This window comes from Homo sapiens, chromosome 17 (assembly GCF_000001405.40).
Source record: "Homo sapiens chromosome 17, GRCh38.p14 Primary Assembly".
Taxonomy (NCBI): domain Eukaryota; kingdom Metazoa; phylum Chordata; class Mammalia; order Primates; family Hominidae; genus Homo; species Homo sapiens.
The window spans coordinates 37,302,276-37,316,349 of record NC_000017.11 but is presented as its reverse complement, the minus strand read 5'-3'; the positions used below and the strand labels follow the sequence as shown (position 1 = coordinate 37,316,349).

Genomic DNA, 14,074 nt, shown 5'->3' with positions numbered 1-14,074 from the left:
CTAGCAAAGTTAGGGGTGTGTGTGTGTGTGTGTGTGTGTGTGTGTGTATGTAAGGGTAGAGCTGGTAGGGTAGACAATGTGCAGAAGTATCAGTGAAACGTCTAGCATTTTCAGGCAATTACAAGTCATTGACTATTACTGCAATGGAAGGTGGGCAGCATGGTTGGTGCAAAAGAAGAGGCCGGTAAGACAGAGGTCAGGTCATTAAGGGTCTTTCATGTCATACTGTGATAATAAATAAGCATTTGGTCTCTATCCTTGGTTCCTGGCACACAGTTCCTAAAGCCCTTGGGATTTCTTGACCGGTAAGTATCTTTTATGATAATGAGATGACTGGGGTCTGAGGGCCCCTGGATAGCTTCAGGCTGGGGTCTGTTAACCAGAAAGACCAAGGAATAATTAGAGAATTGGAACTTTCAAGTCTGCTCTCTAACCTCCAGGGAGGGGCAAGGGGCTGAAAATTGAGCTAATCACAAGTGGCCAGAGATTTAATCAGCCATGCCTACTTAATGAAACCTCCATAAAACCTTGTAAACAACAGAGTTCATAGAGCTTCTGGGATGGTCAACACATAGAGGTTCTGGTAGAGCTGTATGCCTGGAGGAAGGTTTGGAAGTTCTGTGCCCCTTCCCCCATACCTTGCCCTATATGTCTCTTCCTGAGTTCCTGAGTTGTATCCTTTATAAAGCAGTAATAGTAAGTAAACTCTTTTCCTGTGTTCTGTATGTCATTCTAGCAAATTATCAAACACGAGGAAGGGGTCATGGGAATCTCCGATTTATAGCTGGTTGGTCAGGAGTATAGGTGGCTGGGATTTGCAACTGGTATCTGAAGTAGGGGACAGTCTTGTGGGACTGAGCCATTAACCTGTAGGATCTGTGCTAACTCTGGGTAATTAATATAAGAATTCAATTGTGAGACTCCCAGTTGGTAGCTGGACAGAACTGGTTGTTGATATGGAAAAAAACCTGTACATTCGGTGTCAAAGTGTTGTAAGTAAATACAGCTCAGACATAAGACATCTGTAAAATGGAAAACAATGTTTAGGTTCTCCTTAACTGTGCAACAGACTTTATTAAAAATATGGATTCCAGCTGGGTACGGTGGCTCACGCCTGTAATCCCAGCACTTTGGGAGGCAGAGGCGGGTGGATCACCTAAGGTCGGGAGTTCGAGACCAGCCTGACCAACATGGAGAAACCCCATCTCTACTAAAAATACAAAATTAGTTGGGCGTGGTGGCACATTCTTGTAATCCCAGCTACTCGGGAGGCTGAGGCAGGAGAATGGCTTGAACCCGGGAGGTGGAGGTTGTGGTGAGCCGAGATTGTGCCATTGCACTCCAGCCTGGGCAACAAGAGCGAAACTCCATCTCAAAAAAAAAAAAAAAAAAAAAAAAAGCATTCCTGGCCGGGTGCGGTAGCTCATGCCTGTAAATTCCTAGCACTTTGGGAGGCTGAGGCAGACAAATCACTTGAGGTCAGGAGTTTGAGAACAGCCTGGCCAACACAGTGAAACCACGTCTCTACTAAAGATACAAAACTTACCCGGGCATGGGGACATGTACCTGTAGTCCCAGCTACTTGGGAGGCTGAGGCAGGAGAATCACTTGAACCCAGAAGGCGGAGGTTGCTGTGAGCCAAGATTGTGCCACTGTACTTCCAGCCTGGTTGACAGAGTGAGATACCATCTCAAAAAAAAAAAAAAAAAAAAAAAGTGTGGATTCCTGAGTCCTATCCCGGATTTATTAGATTACAGCCTCTGGTCGTGGAGCCCAGGAATCGTTATTCTAATACTTTCCAGGAGAGTCTGGTATGAATCCTGAGCCAAGAAGCACTTTTTCAGAGCTTAGAACAATGCTTGGCACATTTCAGTGCTTAATAAATGTTTGTTACATTGAAATTAAAGTTGTACAAATGGAAATCTACTTGCACAAGAATATATAGTAGAGTGGTCGGGCGCAGTGGCTCATGCCTGTAATCCCAGCACTTTGGGAGGCTGAGGCGGGCGGATCACGAGGTCAGGAGATCGAGACCATCCTGGCTAACACGGTGAAACCTCATCTCTACTAAAAATACAAAAAATTAGCCGTGCATGGTGGCGGGCACCTGTAGTCCCAGCTACTCGGGAGGCTGAGGCAGAATAGTGTGAACCCGTGAGGCAGAGCTTGCAGTGAGCCAAGATTTCGCCACTGCACTCCAGCCTGGGTGACAGAGTGAGACTCCATCTCAAAAAAAAAAAAAAAAGAATATATAGTAGAAAGGAAATATGTCTTAGGGAAATATCTACCTCATTCTTTTTTATGGCTCAATAGTACTCCATTGTGTGTATGGAGTAGATATACTCTCTATTTTATTACATATTTCTTTTTATCCATTCATCTGTTGATGGACCCTTACGTTGATTCCAAATCTTGGCCATTGTGAATAGTGCTGTAATAAACATGGGAGTGTAGATATCTCTTCAATATACTGATTTCCTTTATTTTTTGCATTTACCTAGCTATGGGATTGCTGGGTTGTATGGCAGTTCCATTTTTAGTTTTTTGAGGAACCTCCATACTGTTCTCCATAGTGGTTGTATGGAGATTTACATTCCCATTGTGTTTTAATTTATACAGCCATCAAGGGAACCACCAATACAAGGGTTCCCTTTTCTCCACATCCTCTTAGCATTTGTTACTGCCTCTTTTGGGTAAAAGCCATTTTAACTGGAGTGAGATTATATCTCATTGTAGTTTTGATTTGCTTTTCTCTGATGATCAGTGATGTTAAGCGCCTTTTCATATAGCTGTTTGCTAATTGTATGTCTGCTTTTGAGAAATGTGTATTCAGAACTTTTGCCTATTTTAAAATTGGATTATTAGATATTTTCCTATTGAGTTGTTTGAGCTCCTTATATATTCTGGCTATCAATCCTCTGTCAGATGGAGATACTGTTTGTTGAAATGAAAATGAAGTTGTAATAACCATAGTTTGATATCTCATATTTTTCTGAGTATTCTTTCTCCCAAGATTCATAGTTCTTTAGTTCTTTTTTTTTTTCCCTTCAACTTCTATTTTAAGTTATGGGGTACACCTGCAGGATGTGCAGGAGGTAAATGTATGCAATGGTGGTTTGCTGCACAGATGAACCCATCACCTTGGTATTAAGCCCAGTATCCATTAGCTATTCTTCCTGATGCTCTCCCTCCTGCAACCCCCCAAAATTCTTATCTCAAAATGCTAAATTTAATAATTCTTCATAAGTAAAAATTCTAACCTCCTCCCTAGTAAAATCTAATGATAGTCATGAAACTGGGACTCCATTAGTCAGGAAAATGTCTAGGAGTTCATCAAGGAAAGATTCTTCAGAGTGTTCAGAATATTGAATTTGGGTTCCAGGATATCCTGATCTGCCAAATGTATCATGACCCACTAATTGTGTCATGTCATCTCTATATTTTTTCCCTTTATATATTTTTTTTGTTTCTTTAAAAATTTTTTTTGTAGAGATGGGGTCTTGCTATGTTGTCCAGGCTGGTTTCAAACTCCTGGACTCAAGTGATTCTTCTGCCTTGGCCTTTCGAAATGCTGACATTACAGGTGTGAGCCACCGGGCCCAGCTGCCTTTATTATTTCAGTTCCCACCATCACTGACTTTATGTAGGTGTTCATTATCTCTAGCCTAGTCTATTACAATGGCCTTTAACTATTTTCTCTTACTTTAGTCTCTCCCTGTTTCACATCTGTTCAAAAACATGTAATGTTTTCCCTCTGCTTTCAGAGTAAAGCCCAAGATAACAACCCCAACTTTTACTGCCATTTATTGAGCATTTACTGTGAGTTAAGCACTAAGTGCTTTCAATATTTATCTTATGTAACCAAACAACAGTCAGTCCTGTAAAATAGGCGTTAATTATCTCCATTTTCCAGAAGAGGAGGATACAGGCTCAGAGAGATTATGTAATTTTCCTACCTAATAAGTGGTGGAGGCATTCAGTCATGGTATTCAGATTCTTCCACAATTAGGCCATAGCTGATTTTTCCAGTCTTGTTTCTACCCAGTGTTTTTTCCCTCTTTGCTTATTCCAGTTGCAGTAGACAATTGCCTGTTTCCTAAAATTCCATATACTTTCCATCTTTATGTCCTTTGATCATTCTATTTGTGTCTCAGTCTCTTTTCCTGTGTCTCTCTTTGTCATGTATCCTTACTGAAATGCCATTTCCCTGACTGTTGAAATTCCATTTACCCTTGGAGGTCATCACTCCTTTTTTTCTTTTTAATGAGATGAAGTCTTGCTGTGTTGTCCAGGCTGGTCTCAAACTCCTGGCCTCAAGTGATCTCCTCACCTCAGTTTCCCAAATGCTAGGATTACAAGTGTGAGTCACCATGCCCATCTGAGGTCATCAATCTTTAAAGACCTTCTGAAATGCTGCCTCTGCTATGAAGCTTTTCTTTTTTCTCTTCTCCTTCTTCTTCTTCTTTTTTTTTTTTTTTGAGACAGGGTCTTGCTCTGTCACCCATGCTGGAGTGCAGTGGCATGATCTTGGCTCACTGCAAACTCCACCTCCTGGATTCAAGCAATTCTCCTGCCTCAGCCTCCCGAGTAGCTGGGATTACAGGTGCGCGCCACCATGCCCAACTAATATGAAGCTTTTCTTGTTCTTTCTCCTATATTGTTTTTCTCTTCTGGTAATTTGGCCTTCCATTTTCTGCAACAGTAATTTCATTTCTTCTCCATTGTCCTTAAACCAGCAGTTCCATTTGTGCCATTTCCTGCCTCTTCTAGACACTTTTAATTTATAGCTTTGCCACATTATTTTATTAAGAAAATAGAGACTATCTAGTAATTCTTCTAACACCTCATTTCAAACTTACTTTTATCTGTATTCTCCTTCTCATTTTTTCTTCATGCATATGTATGTATGTGTGTGTGTGTATTTGTGTGTGTGTGTTTTGTAACCCAGAACAATGCTGACAACATTTTTCCTTCTTTCCTGAGAAGTGTTCCAAGTGCTTGGAACAGAGGATGACCAAAGGAGGGAGGGTCCTGAGAAGTGTTCCAAGCACTCTGATTTCTTCCATCTTTATAGAAGGCCTTTTTTTGATAGCCACATTCCCTTTGGATTATTGCCTTATCTCTCTGCCCCATTTTATGGTCAAGATTTTCAGAAGTGCTATCCCTACTTCCTCATCTCCCATTCATTCTTAAAGCTATTCTGTTCTGTCCTCTGCCCAACTATGCTATTGAAACTGCTCTCGTAAAAACCACTAATGACTACTGTATTGCTAAATCAGTGGATGCTTTTCAGTTCTCATCCTTCTAAGTCTCTCAACAGTTCCATACAAGTGACTACTTTTTTCTTGAAACACATGCCTTCTTTTCTGCTAAAGACTACACTTTCATGACTCCTGTGTTACCTCCATTCTACTCTTACCAATCTCCAGTCTCCCTTGCAAGTCCTTCTGCTTTCATGCAACCTTTGAGTGTTGAATACTTTCATTGCTTGGTTCTGGTCCTTCTTATCTTTTTACTTGATATACATTTTCTTTCTTTTTTTTTTTTTTTTTTTTTGAGATGGTGTCTCGCTCTGTTGCCCAGGGTAGAGTGCAATGTTGCAATCTTGGCTCTCTGCAACCTCTGCCTCTGGGTTCAAGTGATTCTCCTGCTTCAGTCTCCCAGGTAGCTGGGATTACAGGCGCCCACCATCATGCCTGGCTAATTTTTTGTATTTTTAGTAGAGACAGGGTTTCACCATGTTGTCCAGGCTGGTCTTGGACTCCTGACCTCAGGTGATCCACCTGCCTCTGCCTCCCAAAGTGCTGGGATTACAGGTGTGAGCCACTGTACCCAGCCACATTTTCTATATATAAAATTCATCCCTTTGCTACTGCTTATATGCTGATGATTCCCAAATTTATAATATCCATCCCAGACCTATCCTCTGAGATCACTTGTTATGTTCACCTATTCATATGACATTTTCATTTGAATGTCTTATAGACATTAAATTCTTGATTTCCCCTATCTTCTTCATAAATTTGATCCTCCCCCAATCTTCCACATCTCACTAAATAGCACCTCCAGCCACTCTGCTCAAACCAAAAAACCTGGGAATTGTACTTCAGTTTGGTTGATTCTATCTCCAGTATTGACCCCAGTACCTTCACTTGCAATCACCTTAGTCCAAGCCTTAGCACGTCAGCTCTTGCTTGGACTATTAGAATGATCACCTAACTAGATTTCCTGTCTGTATTATACTTTTGCCTCCTTATTTCTTGCTGCACATAGCATAAGATACAAAATTCTAGTTTTTCTGTTTTTTTGTTTTGAAACAGGGTCTTGCTCTGTCACCCAGGCTGGAGTAGTGCAAACAGGACTCACTGCAGCCTCAAGCTTCTGGGCTCAAGCCTCAGACTCCCAAGTACCTGGGTCAATAGGTGCATGCCACCCTGCTTGGATAATTTTTAAATTTTTTTGTAGAGATGTGTTCTCACTATGTGGCCCAGGCTGGTCTCAAAGTCTCGGACTCAAGTGATCCTCTCGCCTTCACCTCTCAAAGTGCTGGGATTACAGGTGTAAGCCACCACACCTGGCCTAGATACAAAATTTTTAACTCAGCTCATGAGACCCTGAATGATCTGACTTCTGTCAACTTCCATTTGCTGACAGGGCTTCAATCATACTGGCCTTTCAGTTCCCCTGAAAAGATAGTAGTCCAATATTTTTCCTATCTCAAGGCCACATGCACTGGTCCTTATGCCTAGAATTCACTTTCACTCTCTTTGATCACTTGAGGTCTTTATCCTTTAGGTTTCAGATCAAATATCATTTCCCCAAAGAGGCTCTATTGTTACAGTGTTCCTTTTTTTCCCATTGCAATAGCATTTATCACAATTTGTAATGTTTTTAGTAATATATTTATTTGATTTCTTGTCTCCATTATACTGTAACATGAGCACAGAAGCCATATATTTTGTTTATAGCTGTATACTCATCATTTTCTATAGCATATAATAGTCACTCAATAAATACTTGTTGAAGCCAGGCATCGTGGCTCATGCCTGTAATCCCAGCGCTTTGGGAGACTAAAGCAGGAGGTTTGCTTGAGCCCAGGAATTTGGGACAAGCCTAGGCAACATAGAGAGACCTATACTCTACAAAAAAAAATTTTTTTTAATAGCTGGGCATGGTGTTGCATGCCTGTATTCCTAGCTACTCGGAAGGCTGAGGCGAGAGGACTGTTTGAGCCCCCAAGAGTTTAAGGCCGCAGTGAACTATGATCATGCTACTGTACTCCAGCCTAGGCAACAGAGCAAGACTGTCTCTACAAAGTAAATAAAAACATAAAATAAATACTTGTGAATAAATGGTAGAGGTATAAAGACTGATTGGGAACAGTCACAAAAGATAATAGTAGTAGTTTTTGTTTTTCCATTTTCATTTTTATTTTATTTTATTTGAGGGCAGTAGCGCAATCTTGGCTCACTGCAACCTCCGCCTCTCAGGTTCAAGCAGTTCTTGTGCCTCAGTCTCCCGAGTAGCTAGGATTACAGGCGTGCACCACTAAGCCAGCTAATTTTTGTATTTTTAGTAGAGGCAGTGTTTCACCATATTACCCAGGCTGATCTCAAACTCCTGACCTCAAATGATCCACCTGCCTTGGCCTTCCAACGTGCTGGGATTACAGGCGTGAGTCACCACACCTGGCTAGTAGTTTTTAAATTATACATATTATGTATTTGATTTCTGTAGTAGATTTAGGATTATTCAGATTTTCATGTCTTTCTGGGTGGAATGGAAAGTCGTTAAGAAATTTATCAATTTTTTTCTAACATTTCAAATTTATTGGCATAAAGTTTGTAATAATATGCTTGTTTTTCATGTCTATAGGATTTATAGTGATTCCCTTGTCCTCATTCCTGATATTGGCAATTAGCATTTTTTTCTTTTATTTTTATCAGTCTTAGTAGAAATTTATCAATTCAGTTCCTTTTCAAAGAATTAACTTCTGGCTTTGTTGATATCCATCTCTTCATCTCTGTATTCACTCATAAATTCGTCTTATTATATTCCTCAAGCTTGGATATACATTTTCATTATTATTCAATTAAAATATTTTCTTAATTTCCTTGTGATTTTTTGACTCATAAATTGTTTAGAAATATATCAAGACACTTGTGGATTTTATTACCTTTGTTATTGATTTTTAGTGTAATCCATTGTGTTCAGAGCATATACGCTATGTGATTTCAGACCTTTGAAATTTATTGATACTTTATGGCTTAGTATATGGTCTATTTTGATAAAGTTTCATAAACACTTGCAATGAATGTATATGTTGCAGTTGGTGATTATAGGTTCTATGTATGTTCAGTTTTTCAGTTTGTTGTTCTTCTGTGTCTTTGATTTTTTTTTTTCTACTTGTTATATCAGTTGCTGAAGAAGAATATTAAAATATCCTACTATAAGGATCTTATGACTGGGCACAGTGGCTCACACCTATAATCTTACCACCTTGGGAGGCCAAGGTGGATGGATTGCCTGAGCTCAGGAGTTTGAGGCCAGCTTGGACAACATTATGAAACCCCATCTCTACTAAAAATATAAAAAATTAGCCAGGCATGGTGCCACACGCCTTTAGTATCAGCTGCTTGGGAGGCTGAGGCACGAGAACCACTTGAACCTAGGAGGTGGAGGTTGCAGTGAGCTGAGATTGCACTCCAGCCTGAGGGATAGAGCGAGACTCTGTCTCAAAAACAAAGCAAAACAAAACAAAACAATAAGAAAAAAGACATTCAACACAATAGAAATATGGGGAAAAGACTTCAACAGGCACTTCAAAAGAAGATACCAAATGTCAAGTAAGTATATGAAAAGGTGCTCAATATTACTAGTCATCAGGGATTTGCAAATTAAAATTACAATGAGTTAAACACATAGCCCAACCAAAAAAGGTAAAATTAAAAAACGAGCAATATCAAGTGTTAGCAAGGAAGTGGAACACACTGACTCTTACACATCACTGGTATTAATATGAATTGGTACAGCCACTTTAGAAAACTATTTAGCAGTATCATTTAAAGCTAAACATGCACATACCTCACTAGTGAGCAATTTCATTTTAGTGTATATTCCCAGAGGAAATTAGTTCATTTATCCATCAGAAATAAGCAAATATTGTCAAAATTCATAAACAACCCAAATGTCCGTGAATAGTAGAATAGGTAAGTAAATCATGGTATATCATATGATGGAATACCATACAGAAATGAAAATGAACAAACTACTGCTGTATCACAACATGGGTGAATTTTTTTTTCCATAAATTCGACCAAGTGGTAAGCATAGATAAATTTTATACACATAAGGCCAGGCGTGGTGGCTCACGCCTGTAATCCCAGCACTTTGAGAGGCTGAGGTGGGAGGATCAGTTGAGGCCAGGAGTTCAAGACCAGCCTGGCCAAAATGGTGAAACCTCATCTCTAGTAAAAATACAAAAAAAATTACCTGGGTGTGGTGGTGCTTACCTCTAATCCCAGCTACTTGGAAGGCTGAGGCAGGAGAATCCCTTGATCCCAGGAGGCAGAGGTTGCAGTGAGCCGAGGGTGCACCACTGCACTCCAGCCTGGGTGACAGAGCAAGACTCCATTGCAAAAAAAAAAATAATAATAAATTTATACACATAATATTGATCAAAAGAAGTCAGACATTAAAGTACATACATTATATAACACTATATTTATGAAGTTCAAGAGTAAACAAGACTGATCAATGGTTATAAAAGGTCAGAGTAGTCTTTACCTTTAAGGGAGAATATTGACTAGGAAGGGACACAAGTAAGCCTTCTGGGACTCTGGAAATATTCTGTATCTTAATGAGGTGATTGGTTATATGGCTATATATATATTAATTTTGCATATATATGTTTTATACTTAAGATTTTTCCACTTCATTGTATGAAGTTATATCGGTCATTAAAAAGTAAATAAAACAGGGAGGACTTCCAGGTATAGCTGAATGAGGAGACTGGCAGATCTTCAACACAAAAACCAATTATGAAGATTGACAAACTTGACAAAATTAACCATTTTAACACTCTTGAAATCAACCAAAAGGCATACAATAATTTGAGAGAATTTTATGATTAAAAAACTGCTGGCCGGGTGCAGTGGCTCACGCCTGTAATCCCAGCACTTTGGGAGGCCGAGGTGGGCGGATCACAAGGTCAGGAGATTGAGACCATCCTGGCTAACACGGTGAAACCCCTTCTCTACTAAAAATACAAAAAATTAGCCGGGCATGGTGGCGGGCACCTGTAGTCCCGGCTGCTCGGGAGGCTGAGGCAGGAGAATGGTGTGAACCCAGGAGGCGGAGCTTGCAGTGAGCCGAGATAGTGCCACTGCACTCCAGCCCGGGCGACAGAACAAGACTCCGTCTCAAAAAAAAAAAAAAAAAAAAAACAAAAAAAAAAACTGCTAAAATTCCGTAAAACAGTAGGAGTTTGTGGTATTCTTGTCTGGGATTGTTCCTATTCCCCTTTCCCCAGCTGATTTGTCATGAAAGTTTTACCAGTGTGGGTAGACCATGAAGACCAGCTGCTTTGATGCTGTGGTTCAAGGGAGTTTACTCAGTTTGGGTGGTGGATGATGTCCATGCTCAATGGCATTGTTGGGAGAAGTGACCACTTGGCAGTGGGTGAGTGGCACAGGCCAGTGACTTTGCCTGTTTGTGGTTGGGGCAAGCATATTGCAGGCTGAGGCATGTACATGCACAGAAGAGACATGATAAGGCCCAACGGAAAGTAACAGCTAGGGCAGACTTGAAAAACCTGAACTTTGAATGCACTACTCTATATCCCCCATACTCCAGACCCATAAACAGAGGATAAAAGCCTTTCTAGCTTTAAGTATATGAGCATAAACTCTATCTAATCATTGGCTACACAGACATAGGGGTGACTCCTCAAAAGCCACATTTAAACATAAAACCAAGAAATAAAAAGAAAATGAGCTGAGACATCAGTGGCTGCACACTGTTAGGGAAACAGAATTCACAGATTTAGCTCAGGCAAATGATTAAGCCAAGAAAGAAAAAAACAAACTAGTAACAACAATTTTCATGGGTGAAAGAAATCAGAATCCAAATTGTTCATATGTTCAATTTGTAAATTGTTCATATGCATAATTTGTTTTCTAATCCCATGACAGGTTATATTCAATTTTTAATTAAAAAGCCGTGAGACATGTAAAGATACAGGAAAATGTGACCCATGTTTAGGAAAAAAGTCAACAGAAATTATCTACAAGTGTCCCTAGATACTGGATTTAACAAAGATTTCAAAGTAGCGACTGTAAATGTGTTCAAAGACCTAAAGGAAAACATGTTTAAATAATTTTTAAAAACATATTTATTTATTTTTATTTTTATATTTTATAGGGACAGAGTCTTACCATGTTGCCCAGGCTGGTTTCGAACTCCTGGCCTCAAGTGACCTTCTTGCCTTGGCCTCCCAAATCTCTGGAATTACAGGTGTGAGCCACTGTGCCCCATCTTAAATACTATTTTTTTTTTTTTTGAGACAGAGTTTCGCTCTTGTTGCCCAGGCTGGAGTGCAATGGCACGATCTTGGTCACCGCAACCTCTGCCTCCCGGGTTCAAGCAATTCTCCTGCCTCAGCCTCCCGAGTAGCTGGTACAGGCGTGCACCACCACGCCCAGCTAATTTTGTATTTTTAGTAGAGATGGGGTTTCTCCACGTTGGTCAGGCTGGTCTCGAACTCCTGACCTCAGGTTATTGCCCGCCTCTACCTTCCAAAGTGCTGGGATTATAGGCATGAGCCACCGCGCCTGGCCCCTTAAATACTGTTTTTTTAAGCATGACAACAATGAATCAATAAATAGAACTTCTCAGCTGAGTGCAGTGGCTCATGCTTGTAATCCCAGTGCTTTTGGGAGGCAAGCGGGGTGGATTTCCTGAGCCCAGGAATTTGAGACTCCATCTACAAAAATTTTAAAATTATTTGAGCATGGCAGCATATGTCTGTGGTCCCAGCTACTTGGGAGGCTGAGGCAGGAGGATCGCTTGAGCATATTGAGTGTTTGCACCACTGCATTCCAGCCTGGGCAAAAGAGCAAGACTCTGTCTCAAAAAATTAAAAATAAAATAAATAGAAATTCTCAATAAGAAAAGAGAAATGATTTTTAAAAAGAAGCAAATGAAACCAAAGAGGATATACCTATGGCAAATAAACACATGAAAAGATGTTTTATAATTATCTAATAGTTATTAGGTATTAGGAAAATGCAAATATTAATTAGTATTAGGAAAATGCAAATTAAAATAGCAATGAGATATCATTACACACTTATCAGAATGCCTAAAATAAGAAATAGACACAATACCAAAGGTTTGTGAGAATGCAGAAAAATTGGATTTCTTGTACATTGCTGGTGGGAATGTAAAATGATACAGCCACTCTGGAAAATAATTTGACACTTTCTTTTTTTTGAGACGGAGTCTCGCTCTGTTGCCCAGGCTGGAATGCAATGGCGCGATCTTGGCTCACTGCAACCTCCGCCTCCTGGGTTCATGCGATTCTCCTGCCTCAGCCTCCTGAGTAGCTGGTATTACAGGTGCCTGCCACCATGCCCAGGTAATTTTTGTATTTTTAGTAGAGATGGGGTTTCACCATGTGGGCCAGGCCGGTCTTGAACTCCTGATCTCAAGTGATCCACTTGCCTCGGCCTCCCAAAGTGCTAGGATTATAGGCGTGAGCCACTGTGCCCGGCTAATTTGACACTTTCTTATAAAACTAAACTCTCACCATATGAACCATATGATCTGGCAGCTTCACTCCTTATTGTATACCCAAGAGAAAGGAAAGCATATGTCCACATAAAAGTTTATACATGAATGTTCATAACATTATTAATAAGAGCCACAAAATGGAAACAACCCAATATCCATTAACTGATGATGTATAAACAAAATATGGTGTGTCCACACATTGAAATATTGTTCAACCATAAAAAGAAATGAAGTACTGATATATGCTACAGCATTGAAAACATTATGCTAAATGAAAGAAGCCAGTCACAAAAGGCCACATATTATATTATTCCATTTATATGAAATGTCTGTAATAGGCAAATCTATAAAGACAGAAAGTAGATTAGTGGTTGGCTAGGATTGGGGAGCATATTGGAGAAATGAGGAGTGGCTGCTACTGGGCATGGGGTTTCTTTTGGAGGTAATAAAAATGTTCTAAAATTGCCATGCGTGGTGCACGTTCCTGTAGTCCCAGCTACTTGGGAGGCTGAGGCAGGAGGATTGCTTGAGCCTAGGAGTTTAAGTCCAGCCTGTGCAACATAGCAAGACCTCGTCTCTTTAAAAAAATGACACATATAATGAAATGAAAATGTCCTTAAATTTATTGTGATGATAGTTCATAACTATGTGAATATACTAAAAACTATTGAATTGTACCCTTTAAGTGGGTGAAATGTATGGTGTGTGAATTGTATCTCAGTAAAATTGTTAACAAAAAATTTTTAAATGAGTTTATCAAGATCACAGGGTGTAAGATCTATATAGAAAAGTTAAGTATATTTCTATATGCTAGCTAGAAATGAACAATCCAAAAATGAAATTAAGAAAATATTCTGTTCATGATAGCATTAAAAAGAATAAAATAGGAATAAATTGAGCAAAAAAGGTATAAGACTTATACACTAAAACTTGTGGAACATTGCTGACAGAAATTAAATAAAATCAGCCAGGGGTGGTGGCTCACGCCTGTAATCCCAAACCCAGAGGCTGAGGCGGATGGATCACCTGAGGTCAAGAGTTCCAGACCGGCCGGGTGTGGTGGCTCACGCCTGTAATCCCAGCACTTTGGGAGGCTGAGGTGGGTGGATCACCTGAGGTCAGGAGTTCGAGACCAGTCTGGCCAACATGGTTAAACCCCATCTCTACTAAAAATACAAATATTAGCCTGGCATGGTGGCAGTCACCTGTAATCCCAGCTACTCGGGAGGCTGAGGCGGGAGAATCGCTTGAACCCGGGAGGTGGAGGTTGCAGATTGCAGTG

General features: G+C 40.1%; 1 protein-coding gene across 22 annotated transcripts in view; it reads left to right on the top strand.

Moving 5' to 3' along the window:
• ACACA (acetyl-CoA carboxylase alpha) overlaps positions 1-14,074 on the top strand; it is a 321,845-nt gene that overhangs the window by 90,487 nt on the left and 217,284 nt on the right. The gene's annotated exons all lie outside the window — the stretch shown is intronic.